Here is a 17,603-nt window from a genome sequence, read left to right on the forward strand (position 1 = left end):
CAGATGAGGAAGCTGAAGCCAAGGGGGCTGAGCGGAAGCCTGAGACCAGCATGTACCTGGGCAGCTCGTGCCACGCAGCCTCATTCCTGCCCTCCTGCCAGGTGGAGAGCTGGTGCCCCAAAAACAAACCCCTGGTCAGATTTTAACTTTCCCAGCCATGACCATGTTGGCCACACTCTCAGAATGATCCAGAAAGGCCCCTTTTCAGAGCTGTCTCCTCACAGGGGCTTTCTTGGCTCCAGGGACTAAATGAGTCTTCAAGGCACCTGCAGCACCGCCCTAGGCACGTGGGGAAGGGGCAGTGCCAGGCCACAGCATTTTTCAAAGTGCGTCCCAGAGAGCACTAGTCCATCTGCATGTTAAACAGATAGGACACAGTGGTTCTGTGAGTAAGTTTGGGACCCTTGGCATTAAGTGGGTTCTTGGCACTGGGACTTTTCTGAGCCTTAGGTCTGCACTGTGACTCTGCAGGAGTTGCCCTGTGCTGTGTGGACCACACCTGGGTGCTTTTCCCATGGAGCCCCTCCTCCACAGGGCCTGAGAGCCCCCTGAAACTCACTCTGGGGGTGCTGCTGTGGCCTGTTAGCATTCACTAGCTAGGCGAGGCCTCGGGCTCCAGCCTCTCCTCCCAGTGGAGGCCCTGCCCGGTCCTACCCCCACCCCCACACCACAGGGCCCCGGGTGCACCTGGGGCCGTGCTGATTCCATGCCTTTTGCCTCCTCAGTTTTGGCAAGGAGCTTTGCCAGGCCAAGCCGGAACGTCCCATGAGTGAGTATGGCCTCTGGTTTCTCTTGCCAGTTGCTCCCTGAACTGAACTTGAACCCATAAACTCATGGCATTAAGCCTGGGCCCCAGGGTGTGCTGGGGCCGCTGCTGGGGTCGGCCTTTCAGGATGGCTCTGAGCTCAGGGATTGGGCTCTTCTACTGTCAGCCATCACTGGGCTCATCTGTGATGTCTACACCCTAGGGTGGTATTTGCCAAAACTCCAGTCTGTCCAGGGTATAGGCAGGGCCAGAGCTGGGGTCCCCCAGGGGAGGAGGCTGGGAAGCAGACCTCTGGCTGGCCTGGGAGGAGGAGAGGGAGGGGTGGATTTCTTCAGCAGACACGCTGTGTCTGTGGACCCGCCACGAAACCCAGGGGAGTCGGCAGGGGCGGGAGTAGGAGGCCAAGGCCCATCGGGACCACTGAAATCCAGACCACCAGGACCTACCACACAGACCACTGGACCCAGTGCAGGGATCCGGGGCGGTGGCCTGCCCGAGGCTGACACCTCCCCTCCTCTCTCTCCCGCAGTGTGAAGCCTTTCTCTCAGCAAACCTATGCTGTCCAGCCTCCGCTGCCTCTGCCAGGTGGGTGGGCGCTGCGTGGCCCCCTTTCTATCGCAGCCATGTGGCTCCTGCCTCTGGGTCCAGGCCCCCGGCAGCCGAACGCCTGCGTGTCCCTGTTAGATGCTGCCCCGTCATGCACACTGACCACACGTCCTAGTCCCTGGCCACACCCCATTCCTTTCCCCCAGCATGCACACCTCAGCCGTGTGCCAAGCCCCTTCATGCCCCTCGGGTTGCCTTGCTCCTGTCCCCTCAAAGCTGTGCTCAGGGCTTGTGGGGCACGTGCAGTTCCAAGGGCAGTGCCCGTGCCCTGGCGGCTGCCCCACTTGGCCGGCCTTGTTACTGCAGTGTGCCTCACACACCTGGTCCTGGGAGGGCCGAGGGGTGTCTAGCTCACCAGCCTGGAGCCCCTCCCGAGAAGAGGGACCCTTGTGGGAGAAGACCTGGTGGAGGCAGCCAGCGGTGCTGACAGGAGCCCCCACCCCGCCCTCTCACTGACAGGCTCTGCTCTGTCCTCGTCTCTTTCTCAGGAGGGGCCCTCACCACCTCCCACTCTGTAGGACAAGACCAGCTCCTCACTCTTAAACTGCCCTTTCTGGTGTGGAGTCTGCCTGCCCGGCCCCTTGGCTTTCCCTGCCACCAAGAGCAGCCCTGCTGCCTTCTGTCCCCCAGGTCCTGAAGGCTGCTTTCTCTCGTTCACACATCAAAACAAAGTCACAGCGTCAGGTCCCGTCCACCCTCTGTCTCATGCCAGTCTTCTGTCCACACTGACCATGTCTTCACTCCAGGCCTGCTGGCTTTTGCCTGCGTTCCTGCAGCAGCCTCTCCACCGGCTCGCTGTCCCGTCTCACCTCCTCTCGTCACCCTGTCACTCACCAGAGCTTCAGTCTCACGGTGTTGCTTCCAGGTTTATGGTGCCTTCCTGGCCCCCTGGTGCCTTCAGGACACGATCTAAACTACAGTAGGACTGGAGTAGGTTCATCTGTTAGCAACGCTGGATTGAGGGGCTCTTCTGGGCCAGGCCCTGTTCTGGGAGCGGGGGAGACACATGTGATGCAAACAGGAAACGTCCCCGTCTCTCCGGGATGATGCCATATTGTAATAGTGGATTCATCTGGTTATTTCCCCGACTGGAACAGAAGTTGCTTGAGGGCAGGAACTTAACAGTGCCTGTTCTGGAAGCCTCTCGGTCCTGCAGGGCCCCAGCTGCCCTCCAGAATCCAGTCTTGCTCGGCGGTTCCATGCAGAGTGCTGAGTGGCCCGAGTTGTACCAGGCGAGCCCCTCCCCACCAGGGCAGCTCCAGGATGCCCTGGCCCAAGCCTGGCACTCCCTCCACCACCTCTGCTAGGAGGTCCATTTAGGGAGACAGGCGGTCCCCCCAGGCAGCACGGGTCTGTCCGAGGAGGCCTGGGGTCCTTGCAGAGGGTGCGGGCAGGGCGGGTGTCCGTGACCAGGTTCCATGTGCCTTTCTCACTTTGTGCAGGGTTTGAGTCTCCTGCAGGGCCCGCCCCATCGCCCTCTGCGCCCCCGGCACCCCCATGGCAGGGCCGCAGCGTGGCCAGCTCCAAGCTCTGGATGTTGGAGTTCTCTGCCTTCCTGGAGCAGCAGCAGGACCCGGACACGGTAGGTCCTGGCCTCTGCCTGTCCAGCTCCCTGGTCACCCCCTCTCCCTCTGTTTCTGCTTCCGGCAGTCTTGCCCCACTCCATGCTGGGGCTTAATTCAAGTTCCCTGTTCCTTTCCGATCTTCCCTTCTGCCCTTCCCCCCACTCCTCCTTTCCTCCTTCACGTCACCCCTCTTCCCTCTTTCCCTCCTCCCTGGCTTCCTTTCCGTGTCCCAGCGCCCAGTCAGCGTCACGCTCCTCCCTCCCTGTCCTGTGTTCCTCCTCCCCTCCTAACCCAACCGACCCTTAGTCCAAGGTTGCTCTGGTCCCAGCCCCACCCCTACACTGTCCCAGCCTCTCTCTGGTTCTGAGAAGCGGGCAGGAAGCTGAGGAGTCTCCTGTGTCTGCTCCATATCCTATGGGATACCAGCCTGTCCCCTTCGGTGTCCAGTGTCCTGGGTGACCAGCGTCACCTGCAAAGGTCAGAGGGGGACCTGGAGGAGGCCAAGGTGACAGGATGCCAGGGCCCTTCTCACTCTGACATCTTCAAACTTCTTTTTTTTTTTTTTTTTCTTGAGACAGAGCCTCACTCTGTCACCCAGGCTGGGAGTGCAGTGGCATGATCTCAGCTTACTGCAACTTCCACTTCCTGAGTTCAAGCGACTCTCCCGCCTTAGCCTCCGGAGTAGCTGGGATTACAGGTGCCTGCCACCACACCTGGCTAATTTTTGTATTTTTAGTAGAGACTGGGTTTCACCATGTTGTCCAGGCTGGTCTTGAACTCCTGACCTCAAGTGATCCACCCACTTCGGCCTCCCAAAGTGCTGGGATTACCGGTGTGAGCCGCCGCACCCGGCTCAGACTTCTTTTTAGCTGAGGAACCCATGAACCAAATAGACCTTTACTTAGAAGTCCAGGATGTAAAACAAAAGGAGTAGACTTTTACCATCTCTATTTTACTCATGGGGAAACTATGGCCCAGAAAGGCCAAGCGGCTTGCACCAGGTCACGTGGTGGGCACGCAGAGCCAGGGTTGTCTGTCTGACCGTCTGGCCTGTGCTCCGTCTCCCTCAGACCCACTCTCTCCACAGTACAACAAGCACCTGTTCGTGCACATTGGCCAGTCCAGCCCAAGCTACAGCGACCCCTACCTCGAAGCCGTGGACATCCGCCAAATCTATGACAAATTCCCGGAGAAAAAGGGTGGACTCAAGGATCTCTTCGAACGGGGACCCTCCAATGCCTTTTTTCTTGTGAAGTTCTGGGTAAGCCTGTGATAACCCCTTCTTTCCTGCCACCAGCGTGTCCGTGGTAGTGAGAACGGGGCGAGAGTGCCCAGAGTGTGCCCTTGTCACAGTAGAAACTTGGGGAGGTGGCACCAGTGAGAAGGGGAGAGTAAGCCCAGCATGGCTATGGGATGGTTGGAGCTGAGCCGAGGAGCGGGGCGGTGATCCCAGAGAGCTGGCCTAGTCGAACGAGGCCTTGTCTCACGGGTGGGGATGGCAGCTAAGCCGGGCTAACAGTGGAGCCCTCAGGAGGTGAGGAGGTGTAGTTCCAGAAAAAGACAAACGGGACCCTGCGGGGATAAGTGAAGACATGACTAGGAGCGCCCTTGTCACCCAGGTCTTTGAATGACAAGTCCTGCATGGGTTTCCGGGCCTGGAGCTGGTCCTTCGGTGCTCGCGTCCAAGGCATGTTGGGCTGAACAGAGCTTGGAGAAGGGGAGGGAAGTGTTGGATGGGTCACCCAGCTGACTCTGCCCCAGGGCGAGGCCACCCCACAAGAAACACCCACCCAGCTTCTCAGATAGCTCAGCCTGTAGACTTGGCCTCTGCTGCCCTCCCACCTCACCCCGGGCAGGTATTTTGTGGGTGGAACCTCCTCCATTGAAACGTCTTGTCTGAGGCCGGGAGGTACAGTAGCTGCTCTGGGAGCTTAGCTTCCTGGGGGCCCAGTGTGTGCAGAAAAGGGGTGCGAGGAGAGAGTCAGACAAGTAAGTGCTAATGAAGCCAGCGGTGAGGAAGGGCAGGAAATCAGGCTCTGTGACTGAGGCCTCCAGTATTCTCAGGACACGGACTGAGGCTTGGGTGGCTCTGCCCGCATCCCTCTTCCCCACTCCCCTTCAGCTCTCCTCACGCTCTTTTCAATGCCTCTTGTGCAGAGATTCTTACCCTTTATTTACTGCCAGACCACTTTCATAATCTCAAAGCTTTACTTTTCCTAGAAAGAGGCATATTCACACCGAAGTTTATATAGACGTTCAGATGGCTTGCCGGCTCCCGGTGAGCAGCTCCCAGCCTGGCTCTCATCCACAGCTGAACATGGGGGCAGGCTGTCTCCAGAAGGGGCAAGTGTTGGAACTGAGACCTAGGGCCCCTGACCTTTAAGACACTTAGCATTTGCGCTCTGCCAGCGGAATGGAAGTTGGACCCTGGCCTGAGGGATGGGCACATCTATTGGCAGAGATGGGAAAGGCTGTTGCGGCCTGGGAGTGCATGAGTAGTAAAGGCAGAAGGAAGTGGGCTCTGGAGTGAAGTTGAAGCCGTAGGTAAAGAGGGAATAAGAGGAGACAACTGGGAGAGTGAGTTAGGTTCTGGAAGGTCTTGATCATACTAAAGTTTGAGTTTTAACCTGTTCTGGAATGAAAAATAAGTAGTATTTTATTTTACTTGGTCTTCTTTTTAAATCAATGCATGTTCATGGTTAAAATGTTAATTAATACCAGGAGCCTTATTTAACGAAAGAGAATGAAGGGCCAGTTGCGGTGGCTCATGCCTGTAATCCCAGCACTTTGGGAGGCTGAGGCGGGCAGATCACAAGGCCAGGAGTTCAAGAACAGCTTGACTAACATGGTGAAACCCTATCTCTACTTAAAAAAAAAAAAAAAAATTAGACAGGCGTGGTGGCACACGCCTGTAATCCCAGCTACTCAAGAGGCTGAGGCAGGAGTAATCGCTTGAACGTGGGAGGCGGAGGTTGCAGTGAGCAGAGATGGCGGCCACTGCATTCCAGCCTGGGCAACAGAGCGAGACTGTCTCAAAAAAAAAAAAAAAAGTGAAAAGCATCATATTCTTGTCCTACTCCTCCCCACACCCAAATCCCAATCCCCAAAGGTAGTCACTGCAAATTTCAGCTGTTTATTTTGGGCTTTATCTCTTTAGTTCTAAGTAATATGCTTATATTGCTGTATCTCGATGTCAGGATTAAGACATTATATTTTCATTTCATTATGGTAGAAAAAATTAGCTGTGTTACATCACTTTTCCCCCTCATCATCCCAATGTAATAATATCCAATAAGTTATTTAATTTAGTAAAAGTCATAAAATGTTCACTTTTTTTTTTTGAGTCTCGCTCTGCCACCCAGGCTAGAGGTGCAGTGGCGTGATCTTGGCTCACTGCAAGCTCCGCCTCCCGGGTTCACGCCATTCTCCTGCCTCAGCCTCCCGAGTAGCTGGGACTACAGGCACCCGCCACCACGCCTGGCTAATTTTTTGTATTTTTTTAGTAGAGACGGGGTTTCACCGTGTTAGCCAGGATGGTCTCGATCTCCTGACCTCGTGATCTGCCCGCCTCAGCCTCCCAAAGTAATGTTCACATTTTTTGACAATGTAGATTGAACACCAAAGAGCCAAGAACGGGCTGGGTGTGGTGGTTCATCCCTGTGATCCCAGCACTTTGGGAGCCCAACGTGGGCAGATTACTTGAGTTCAAGACCAGCCTGGGCAACATGATGAAACCCCATCTATACAAAAAGTAGCTGGGTGTGGTGGTGTGTGCCTGTGGTCTCAGCTACTCAGGAGGCTGAAGTAGGAGGATTGCTTGAGCCTGGGAGGCAGAGGTTGCAGTGAGCCAAAATCGCACCATTGCATTCCAGCCGGGTGACAGAGCAAGACCCTGCCTCAAAACAAAAAAACAAAAAACAAAACAAAAGTACAAAGAGTCAAGAAGGGTATTATGATTACATTTTTACCTCTTGTACAACTTTTTTTTCCTGCAAATAAATGGCTCTTGCATATTTTTTAATAAGCCTATTCTTAAAATTTTACAAATTGCTCCATCAGAACCACCATATAAAATTAAAATTTTTTTCCCCCAAATATTCAAAACTGTTAGATAATTTATCAATTTCTCCTTTCTTCTGGAGATCTTTCTCCTGGCTGCCTCTGTTCTGCTCCAGTTTGAACGTGTTATTCTTTTTTTTTTTTTTTGAGACAGAGTCTTACTCTGTCGCCCAGGCTAGAGTGTAGTGGCGCGATCTCGGCTCACTACAACCTGTACCTCCCTGGTTCAAGCAATTCCCCTGCCTCAGCCTCCCGAGTAGCTGGGATTACAGGCACCCACCATCATGGCTGGCTAATTTTTGTCTTTTTGTAGAGACAAGGTTTCACCGTGTTGGCCAGCCTGGTCTTGAACTCCTGACCTCAGGCGATCTGCCCACCTCAGCCTCCCAGTGCTGGGATTACAGGTGTGAGCCACTGCGCCCGGCCTGAGCATGTTATTCTCTAGGCTTGCCCTACAGTTGTCATCCTGAGCCTCCCCTATATTGATACAATTTCCTAGCTCTTGCATTTCTCTCTTTATTGGTATAACCCCTTCATTTTGTGGGAACACATCCTCTAGTACCTTCTAAGAAAAGATGCATGGTACATAAATGACCTTGCTTCTTTGAAATGTCATTATTTTTATTATATCCTTATACTTGACTGATTGGTATTGGTAGTCTGGATAAAGAATCTAGATCATACATCATTTTCCCTAGAAAATGATGACTTTTTTTTTTTTGAGACAGGGTCTTGTTTCGAGATGGAGTTTCGCTCTGTTGCCTAGGCTGGAGTGCAGTGGCGCAATCTTGGCTTATTGCAACCTCCACCTCCCAGGTTCAAGCAATTCTCATGCCTCACCCTTGCAGGTAGCTGGGATTACAGTCGTGTGCCACCAGGCCTGGCTAATTTTTGTATTTTTAAGAGAGATGGGATTTTTCAGTGTTGGCCAGGCTGGTCTTGAACTCCTGGTCTCAAGTGATCCTCCTGCCTCGGCCTTCCAAATTGCTGGGATTACAGGTATGAGCTATCGTGCCTGGCCTAGAAATGATTTTCGAGGATCATTCTTTAGTGCATTTGTCATTATCTTCTGACATAAATAGTCTGATAGCATTCTAATTCCCTATCCTTTATTATGTAACTTTTTTTTTTCCTCTGGAAGTTGTAATGTTTCTTCTTTCTCCCTAATGGCCAGTTTCACATTGGTGAGCTTTGGGATATGTGTTGTTTTACTTCCCCGTCTTGAGCCAGGTACTTGGTAGGCACTTTTAACTGTGAGATGAGTCTTTCAGTTTTAGGAAATGTACTCGTATTATTTCTTTGATAATTTATTTCCCTCTGTTTTCTGTTTTCTTTTCCAGGAATCTCTGTTATGATGTTGGAACCCTCTATGATGTTTACCATTTCTTTATTTTCTTGGACTTATCCTCTACGATTTTTACCATTTATTTTCAATCTTGGTCTGTTTTCTTAGCGATTTCCTTAATTTTGTATTCTGACTCTTTTCTGAATTAGTTAAGGTTGTGTCCAAGTGCATATCACACAAACCCCAAAGAAACAGTGGCATAAATAGTTTTTCTTTCACATCAAGGAAGTCTGGAGGTAAAGACTGTCCAGTGCTGGCCCAGTGCTCCTGACATCATGAGGGACCTGGCTTCTCTCTATCTGCTGTCCTCAGTGTATGACTTCTGTACTCAGGGTCATGACTGCTGGAGTTCCAGCCACTGTAGCCATCTTCCAACCATCAAAAGAAGCCAGTTTAGCTCCCTGTAAGGGGCCTGCTGGGAAGCCCCATAATTAGTTGTGTGGCTGCATCTTGCCGTAAGGAACCCGGGAAAGGTACTTTTTTAGTTGGGTAAGTTGCTGTTCTGAATAAAATCAGAGCTGTAATACTGTAGAAGAAGCTGCATACATCCTTTTATGGATGTATCTTAGTTCAGTTGATGACATTTTGTTTTTTCTGGGTAGTTTATAAAGTGTGCATCCTACAGTTAAGGGTGAATTAGATGAGTGGAATACAGCAGCATCTCTGCCACACCTTCTGTTGAATATTTAATTTCGGCTCTGACATTTTAATTTTCCAGAGCTCCTTCTTGTTCTGTGATTGCATCAAGATGTTTGATGGATGTAGTTTTTCTCCTCTTTTTCTTAAAGGTATGAAGTAAGTGTTACTTCTTAAGTTTTCTCCTGCTCCTAACCCTCCCCCAACCCACGCCCAGACTAAGTTTTGCTGTGTTGCCCAGGTTGGAGTGCAGTGGTGTGATCTCGGCTCACTGCAACCTCCGCCTCCCTATTCAAGCAATTCTCCTGCCTCAGCCTCCCAAGTAGCTGGGATTACAGGTGCCCGCTACCACGCTTGGCTAATTTTTGTATTTTTAGTAGAGAGAGGGGTTTCGCTATGTTGGCCAGGCTGGTCTCGAACTCCTGACCTCAAGTGATAGATTTACAGGCGTGAGCCACCACACCCAGCCTCCTGCTCCTTTCTTTGTCTTTGTTTCTTTTTAATTCCGTTTTTCTGTTTGTTTTGGTCCTTGTCTTTCCAGCTGGAGGGTTTTCTTTGGTGTCTTTAGTTCTTAGCTGCCTGTCTGTATTTTTTTAACAGCTTTCTTGCAATGTAATTAACTTACCTTACAGTTCACCTACTTAAAACATACAGGCCACGCACAGTGGCTCACATCTTAATCCCAGCAGTTTGGGAGGCCGAAGCAGACAGATTGCTTGAGCTCAGGAGTTTGAGACCAGCCTGGGCACATGACAAAAACCTGTCTCCACAAAAATAATACAAAAATTAGTCAGGCGTGATGGCATGTGCCAGTAACCCCTACACTTTGGGAGGACGAGGCGGGTGGATTGCTTGAGTCCATGAGTTGGGGACCAGCTTGGCCAACATGGCAAAACCCCATCTCTCCTAAAAATACCAAAATTAGCCAGGCATGGTGGTGCGTGCCTGTAATCCAAGCTACTCAGGTGGCTGAGATGGGAAGATCGCTTGAGCCTGGGAGGCAGAGGTTGTAGTAAGCTGAGATCACACCACTGCACTGCAGCCTGGGTGACAGAGCAAGATCCCATCTCAAAAAATAAAGTATACAATTCCGAGTTTTTAAGTATATTCACAAAGTTGTGCAACCATCACCACAATCAATTTTAGAACATTTTCATCATCCCGAAAATAAGCCCTGTTCCCTTTAGCTGTCACTCCCCACTCCTACCCCCCAGCCCTGTGCAATAATCTACTTTCTGTCTTTGAAGCTTTGCCTATTCTGGACATTTTGTATAAAAGGGTTTGTGGAGGATGTGGTCTTTTGTGACTGGCTTCTTGAACTTGGCATAGTGTTTTCAAGGTTCAACCATGTTGTAGCACGTACGTTCCTTTTTATGGCCAAATGTACGGAGAGTCCACATTGTTTATCCATTCATCAGTTCATGGGCATTTGGGTTGTCTCCTCTTGGCTGTTAGGAGTAGTGCTACTGTGAACATTACGTACCAGTGTTTGTGTGGACGTTCATTTTCATTTCCATATGCTTATGTCTGGAATTACTGGGTCATATGGCAACTCTCTTTCACTTTCTGAGGCACTCCCAAGAGTCTTCCGAAGTGGCTGCACCGTTTTCTGTTCCCACCTGCAGGGTATGAGGGTATGAGGATCCTATTTTCTCCACATCCTCACCAACACTTGATATTCTCTGATTGTAGCCATCCTAGCAAATGTGAAGTGGTATCTCATTGTGGTTTTTATCTGCATTTCCCTGATGACTGATGATGGTAAGCATCTTTTCATGTGCTTACTGGCCATTCGTATATCTTCTTTGTAGAAATGCCAATTCAGAAATTTAGGTCCATTGCCCTTTTTTTTTTGAGACAGTCTTTCTCTGTCACCTAGGCTGGAGTACAGCGGCGTAATTTTGGCTCACTGCAACCTCTGCCTCCCAGGTTCAACTGATTCTCGTACCTCAGCCTTCTGAGTAGCTGGAATTACAGGCACGCACCACCATGCCCAGCTCATTTTTGTATTTTTGGTAAAGGCGGGGTTTTACCATGTTGTCCAGGCTGGTCTTGAACTCCTGAGCTCAAGCGATTCGCCTGCCTCAACCTCCCAAAGTGCTGGGATTACACGTGTGAGCCGCTGTCCCCAACCCCATTGCCCATTTTTATAATAAATTGGGTTATTTTTTATTATTGAATTATGAGTTCTTAGTTCTGGATGAAAGTTCCTTATCAGTTATATGATTTGTAATTATTATTTCCCATTCTGTTGAATGTCTTTTCACATTCTTTTTTCTTTTTTTCTTCAGAGACAGGGTCTTGCTGTGTCTTCCAGGCTGGAGTGCACTGGCATGATTATTGCTCACTGCAACCTTGAACTTGGGCTCAAGTGATCCTCCCGCCTCAACTTCTTGAGTAGCTGGGACTAGAGGCATGCACTACTACGCCTGGCCAATTTTTTTTTTTTTTTTTTTTTTGAGATGAAGTCTCACTCTGTCACCCAGGCCGGAGTGCAGTGGCATGATCTCGGCTCACTGCAAGCTCCGCCTCCCGGGTTCACGCCATTCTTGTGCCTCAGCCTCCCAGGTAGCTGGGACTTCAGGCGCCCGCCACCACGCCCAGCTAATTTTTTTGTATTTTTAGTAGAGACGGGGTTTCACTGTGTTAGCCAGGATGGTCTCGATCTCCTGACCTCGTGATCCACCAGCCTCGGCCTCCCAAAGTGCTGGGATTACAGGCGTGAGCCACCGCGCCCGGCCCAAGTTTTTATTTTTATTTAAATTTTTTATAGAGGGTGTCACTATGTTGCCCAGGCTGGTCTTGAACTCCTGGCCTCAAGTGATCCTCCTGCCTCAGCCTTCCAAAGTGCTGGGATTACAGGTGTGAGCCACTGTGCCTGGCCCCTTTTCACATTCCTAGTAGTGTCCTTTGATGCACAAACGTTTCTAGTGTTGATGATGTCCAGTTTATCAAGTTTTCCTTTTGTTATTTGTTCTGGTTATATTTAGTAGTGACTGGGAGCTCTTCGTGCAAGGTAGGACTTGTCACCTGGTGGGTTTCGCTTTAGGGTGATTGGGCTTGGGGAGCTAGCTGTTTTATTGGGGAAATCAATAAATATGTGTGTTTACTGGACTTTTTTTTCCCCCTGAGGTGATTTAGTTTCTCCAGAGACGATTCATCTAATTTCCCTGGAAGGGACATACTTGGTCACAAGTGTTCTGGTAGTGGGATAAAGGGTCGGGGGTAGGGGCCCTGACCATTTCTGATGCTGGCTTTCACTTAACTCTCCTGTTCTTACTCCCCCTCTTCCCTCTCTTTTGAATAAGCCCTGTGTCCCTGAGACCTGTTGCCCTCCTGTTTAATTTCTGAAGATGGTCACCCTTTGGTCCTCTTTAAAAAGTTTTTTTGTTTGTTGGTGTGTTTTTTAATTTTTAATTTCATAGAGACAGGGTCTTGCTATGTTGCCCAGACTGGTTTTAAACTCCTGGGCTTAAGCCATTCTCCTGCCTCAGCCTCCCAAAGTAATGGGATTACGGGCAGGAGCCACCATACCCGGCTGACCCTTTGATCTTCTACCGATGCATGGGAGGGGTGGGCCTGGGGGCTGGACTGTCCAGTGTACAGACTTTTTGTCAGTTCCTGGGGACAAATCCTGTTCCCTCCAGCTCCGAGCCACGCAGCTCAGCTTCTTATCTGTCACCCCTGAAGATATTGGTAGGTTGTGACTCTTTTTGCTTTCTCTACCCCGTGGAATCCAGTGTGGTCCTAATCAGCTTTGAGTCTCCAAAGCTTGCCCAGCTCTCTTGTCAGCTGGTCTCTTTGTTTTCTTTATCTTTGTGGTGCTGCATATTGTTTAAAGTTACTTGCTGTTGTCCTTCTAGCTGGGTCTCTGGAAGGGGAAAAAATAAACTGGGGTAGTCAGTCTCCCACCTTTAGCCAGGTGTCCAGGATGATGGGGTGACCTGTGTGCCACTTCGAAGGGGTCGGCAGTCGCTGTTTGGAGTGCTGGGCTGAGAAGGCTCTAGCAGGGAGGAGTGCTGGGTGGACGGTCATGGCCACGTGCGTAGCCAGGGAAATATTTGTTAGCCCTTCTCCTTAAGCGATGAGGAGTCATTTAAGGTTTTCGAACAGGGCAGGACGTGGCCAGGGTTGTGCTTAGTTGGTTAACTCTGGCACCCAGACTGGAAGCAGGTGTGAGACTCCTGCAGTGGAGACCAGGCAAGACGCATGTGCCTCCTGAGGACCTCGGCCGAGAGGCTGGCTTCAGGGTGTGGCGTGGGAGGCAGGATGCTGTCCACTTTTTCTCAGGAGGGGCTTAAATCATCTCCCAGTCTCCCGTCCAGCCCCGGTTGTGGGAATTGGAACCTGTACAGCTGGCAGTGGCGCTTCCCAACCCTGCTGTGAGTCTGAGGGGGCCCCCAGCCCCCTGGAGAAGCCTTCACCCTTGCTTGAGCACTCACCGCCCCCGGCCTGTCCAGGCTCAGCCCTGACTCAGCGGAAGGAGCTTAGGCGAGCTGATCTGTGGCTCTTTCCCGGCATGGCTCAGGACCCTGGGGATACAGTTGGGGTCAGAGCGGAGACCCAGTTGGCAGTGGCAGGAAGCACTCATGGGAACACTGCCTTGGAGCGGGAGGTGGCATGTCCGGGACCCTCTTGCACTAGCTCCTGCCTTTAGCTATTGGTGATATTCTGTGTTCTTCTAGCCACCCTCCAGATAAGGACCATCCTAGGTCTCTTGTTTCACAAGTAGGGGAAACTGAGGCATGGAGTAAGCAGGGCCTGGCCCTGAGTCCCCCAGCCAGGGTGACCTCTGTCCTGTGGGCACTCCTGTTGGATACATGCTGTGAGATAGATGGGCCCAGATAGACTGAGAGAGATGACAGCTGCACTCTTCTCACCACGTTACATACAGTCACACGTCTCATCCTCACCACAGCCAAGACTGGATAACCTCATCTGCAGAGGGGAAACTGAGGTACAGACAGGTAGAATCACCTGCCAAAGGTTGCCCAGTTCATAGTACCAGACCCATACCAGACCACGGGTCCATACCTGAGCAGCCTGACCCCAGGGTGTGTGCTTGGAGCCACCATACTAAACAGTCCTCCTTGCGAAGTCACTGGCTGCCCTCCATGCAGCATCCTGGAGCTTCTCCTGCTCCCACTGGAGAAGGCTCTGAATTGTCTAAAACAGATCCCCAGCCCCCTGAGGAACAGCAGGCAGTGGCAGCGTGGGGAGAGCAGACTTAGCTCTGTGCAGTCAATGTAGAGCCAGCCCCTTGGGCTTCTTGGGCGTTCTCGACCTCAGATATCCCTTCCAGAAAATAGGGCAGTGGCCCTGCGTGGAGACTAAGGTTGCCAGGAAGGAAGGAGGACCTAGAAGGTACTTTTCCAAACTTGGTAGTGGCCTGTGTCCTCTCTTTCTTTCTGACTCTTAGGGGAGTTTGGAGGTGGGGGTTGATGGGAGAAGAGAGGGTTGGGACAGCTGGTGCCAAAGACATGGGATTCAGCAGGTTCCCTTGTGGACCGTGTGCTCCAGCCGTGTGCTGTACGGACCCAGCGCGGCCCTCGGCTTCCAGGAGCTCGCACTCTGGATGGGAGGATCCAGCGCGAGTCTCGGGGTCCTGGGACAGGAGCCGCTGGACAGGGGGCTGTGGTGTGCCCCCCAGCAAGGCCCTTCTGATGTGTCATGGCAGGGCACGGTGGGCAGCAGTTGGCCCCAGCTGGGGCAGAGTCTCAGTTCTACCACTTGAGAACTGTGTCCTGGGCAAATATTGGCTTCTCTGTGCCTCTGCTTCTTTGTGTGAATAGTCAGCAGTTTGATCTTGGGGACCTGCCAGGGGCTGTGTCGCTGAAGACCCCGTGTATGTGGCCGGCTGGTACTGAGTGGGGGGCTGTGGCCTGCCCTTGCCCCACCCCTTGCCTGAGCCCTCTGAGTGCCAGCGGCCTGGGCAGGTGAAATCAGAGATGAGGGAGCGCCGGAGGCCAGGGCACCTTGGCGGTCATCTGCTCCCTCCTCCGCATGTGTGGGGCGGGCAGAGGCACCAGAGGAAGACACATATGTGACGGGGAAAGGTACATATTCGTGTTTGCTGACAATGAGACTTTGCGTCAATCGTGGGTCCTCACAGGCTGCCCCGGCTCCCCCCGCATCGGGAAGCTCCTGTCTTCTGCTCCCTGGCCTGGTCCCGCCTTCCCCCTCCATCAGCTGGTGTGAACTTGGCCACACACAGTTAGGAAGGAAAACTGCTCAGGCAAGGAAACGGTGTCGCCTCTCCCGGAGCCTTTCTTTTCCTGCCTGGCTGTTTTCTCAGTCCTGGCTCCCAGGCCCTGAATGTGTGTGCTGGAGAGGCAATCAGAACCCCCTTGGAGTGGGAGGAGGACTTGTCCGTCTCCAGTCCAGCCTCCCTGCCTGTCCCCTGAGTTACTGCTCTTACTGAGGGCGCTGTGGTGGTCATTCATAGACTCTCGGACTGCTGGGACACATTTCCAGCTAGAAGTGGCATCTGCCAGCCTGAAGGGCTGAGGCTGCTAGGGCTGTGCACAGCCTCAGCCCTATCTGCTGAGCGCCACGGGGCCTGGAGCGAGGGACTGATGCGATGAAGCTCCCTTCCTCCCCCAGAGCCCCGCAAGTCCAGCAGAGGCCACCTGTCTCTGGGGCCGGTGAGAGGGGGCCTTTGGTGGCCATTAACGCCGCTCTGCACATTGGAAATGCCAGGCAGAGCCGGGCTGCACCGTGGAGGCAGCAGAGTACCCCAGGCCTTCCTCCCATCTCAGCCTGCTCTTCCCTTTCAGTCCCTGACATTTCTCCCAGGCACATACCAGCACATGACAATGAATCTGAGCCCCTCCAGGCCCCCACACCCGGGCTGCGGCTGTCTCTGCTCATCTGTCAGTCACCCGATCCCCCACACCTGTTCCAGGCACAGCTGCCCACCCGCACGCACAGCTATGAATAGGGCGGAGGGAGGGTTGCAAGGGGGCACTCACAGGGCAGGGGACCGGGGCAGCTCTCATTTTTTCTTAGGCCAAGAAGCGTAGCTTGTTTTGGGTGGTTGCTCAGTGTGGGGGGATATGAGGGTGGACAGGAAATGTCAGGAAGGAGTATAGCTGCAGGAGAAGGGGTGAGGCTGTAATTAGAAGGATCCAGGCACTGAGGACGAGTCGAGGTGCTCTGGGGCGGTTCGTCCGTGTCGCCGGCTGGTGTGTTCCGGGTTTATGCAGTGTGAACATGAGTTCTGGGGCTGATTGTGGGATCTCTCTTTCTCCCCCTGACCCATTGCTCAACCCTAGCACTTGCATTCTATTTGTTCTCCCGATTATAAATTCCCTGAGAGCAGAAACAATGTCTCAACCTCTCTGGGCCCCCCTGCCTCTAGCACTGCTGGCCTGGGCTGGACAAATGGGCACCTGAGCGATGGGAAGAGCCAGGGAGTGGGAGCTGATGACAGAAGAGTGTATCTGAGATGGGGGTGGAGCTGGGGCGCAGAACTCTCAGGGTGAGCAGGACAGGGTAGGTTCCTGCTTGCGCCTGAGGGACCTTGCTCTTCCCACTGGTGCCACCCGGAGGTGAGAGGGTGAACAGCCGCCTGCAACCTTGATTGAAGGCCCACCCTACTAAGGCCCTGGGAGAGCTTAGTTCTTGCCTCCAGGGAGCATCGTATCTGGAAGGGGGCAAGGACATCTGGACAGATTATGACAAGCAGGGTAATAGAGGGGGATCTGCCAATTGCTCCTGGGGGCTGGGGGCAGCCGCTGCCTCTGTGTGTCTGGAAGAGCTGGGAGGTGTGGATGCCAGTCCTTCCCAGCTTGGCACACTGGATTCTTCTAAGATGGCACGTGAATATGCATTTTTTTAAATAGTTAAGTAGTTGCCCAGGCTCAGTGGCTCATTCTTGTAATCCCCCCACTTTGGGAAGCTGAGGCAGGAGGATCACTTGAGCCCAGGAGTTCGAGACCAGCCTGGGCAACATGGCGAAGCCCTATCCCTGTGTTTTAAAATAACTTTATTTGAAAATATGGAAAATAGTTATAGGCCAGACGCGGTGGCTCACGCCTATAATCCCAACACTTTGGGAGGCCGAGGCAGGTGGATCACTTGAGGCCAGGAGTTCGTGACCAGCCTGGCCGATATGGTGAAACCCCACCTCTACTAAAAAAAAAAAATACAAAAACTAGCCGAGCGTGGTGGTGGGCACCTGTAATCTCAGCTACTCAGGAGGCTGAGGCAGAAGAATCACTTGAACCCGGCAGGCGAAGGTTGCAGTGAGCTGAGATTGCACCACCACACTCCAGCCCAGGCGACAGAGCGAGATTCCGTCTCAAAAAATAAAATTAAAAAAATAGTTATATAGTTATTTTCATATATATTAGAAAGAATAGAATCCTTGATTTCATGGATTTATTGCTTAGAATGGAATTAAGGAATAAAAGTGAGTTGATTTCAAAGAATCAGGATGTGTCGTAGATGGCACATGAATGTGGCATTGATCAGAGGGACCATGCGCGGTTAAAATCTGAGGGTCACCACCATTGATGCCTGGCCTCACCTCTTGGTGTTCCCCACCATGTCCAGTGCATCCTTCCCAGGCAGCTGGGCTTCCTGCCAGCGGCATTTCAGGCATTGTTCACATTTTTGCCCTGTG

At 52.2% G+C, this 17,603-nt stretch overlaps 1 protein-coding gene across 3 annotated transcripts in view, besides 1 other annotated feature; it reads left to right on the forward strand.

Moving 5' to 3' along the window:
- TEAD4 (TEA domain transcription factor 4) overlaps window positions 1-17,603 on the forward strand; it is an 81,280-nt gene that overhangs the window by 58,423 nt on the left and 5,254 nt on the right. For all 3 annotated transcript variants that reach the window (NM_003213.4, NM_201441.3, NM_201443.3), the window contains 4 exons: window positions 726-769; window positions 1,296-1,351; window positions 2,815-2,954; window positions 4,025-4,198. In NM_003213.4, the coding sequence (NP_003204.2) occupies window positions 726-769; window positions 1,296-1,351; window positions 2,815-2,954; window positions 4,025-4,198 (414 nt within the window). The remainder of the gene's footprint in view (window positions 1-725; window positions 770-1,295; window positions 1,352-2,814; window positions 2,955-4,024; window positions 4,199-17,603) is intronic.
- Window positions 14,346-14,907: an enhancer, noted in NCBI's record as "H3K4me1 hESC enhancer chr12:3141331-3141892 (GRCh37/hg19 assembly coordinates)". NCBI's record gives its function as "activates a minimal SCP1, AML or CMV promoter by ChIP-STARR-seq in naive H9 embryonic stem cells {active_cell/tissue: H9 hESC(naive)}" and the evidence as "EXISTENCE:reporter gene assay evidence [ECO:0000049][PMID:30033119]".

Source organism: Homo sapiens, chromosome 12 (genome assembly GCF_000001405.40).
Source record: "Homo sapiens chromosome 12, GRCh38.p14 Primary Assembly".
In the NCBI taxonomy this organism is placed as follows: Eukaryota; Metazoa; Chordata; class Mammalia; order Primates; family Hominidae; genus Homo; species Homo sapiens.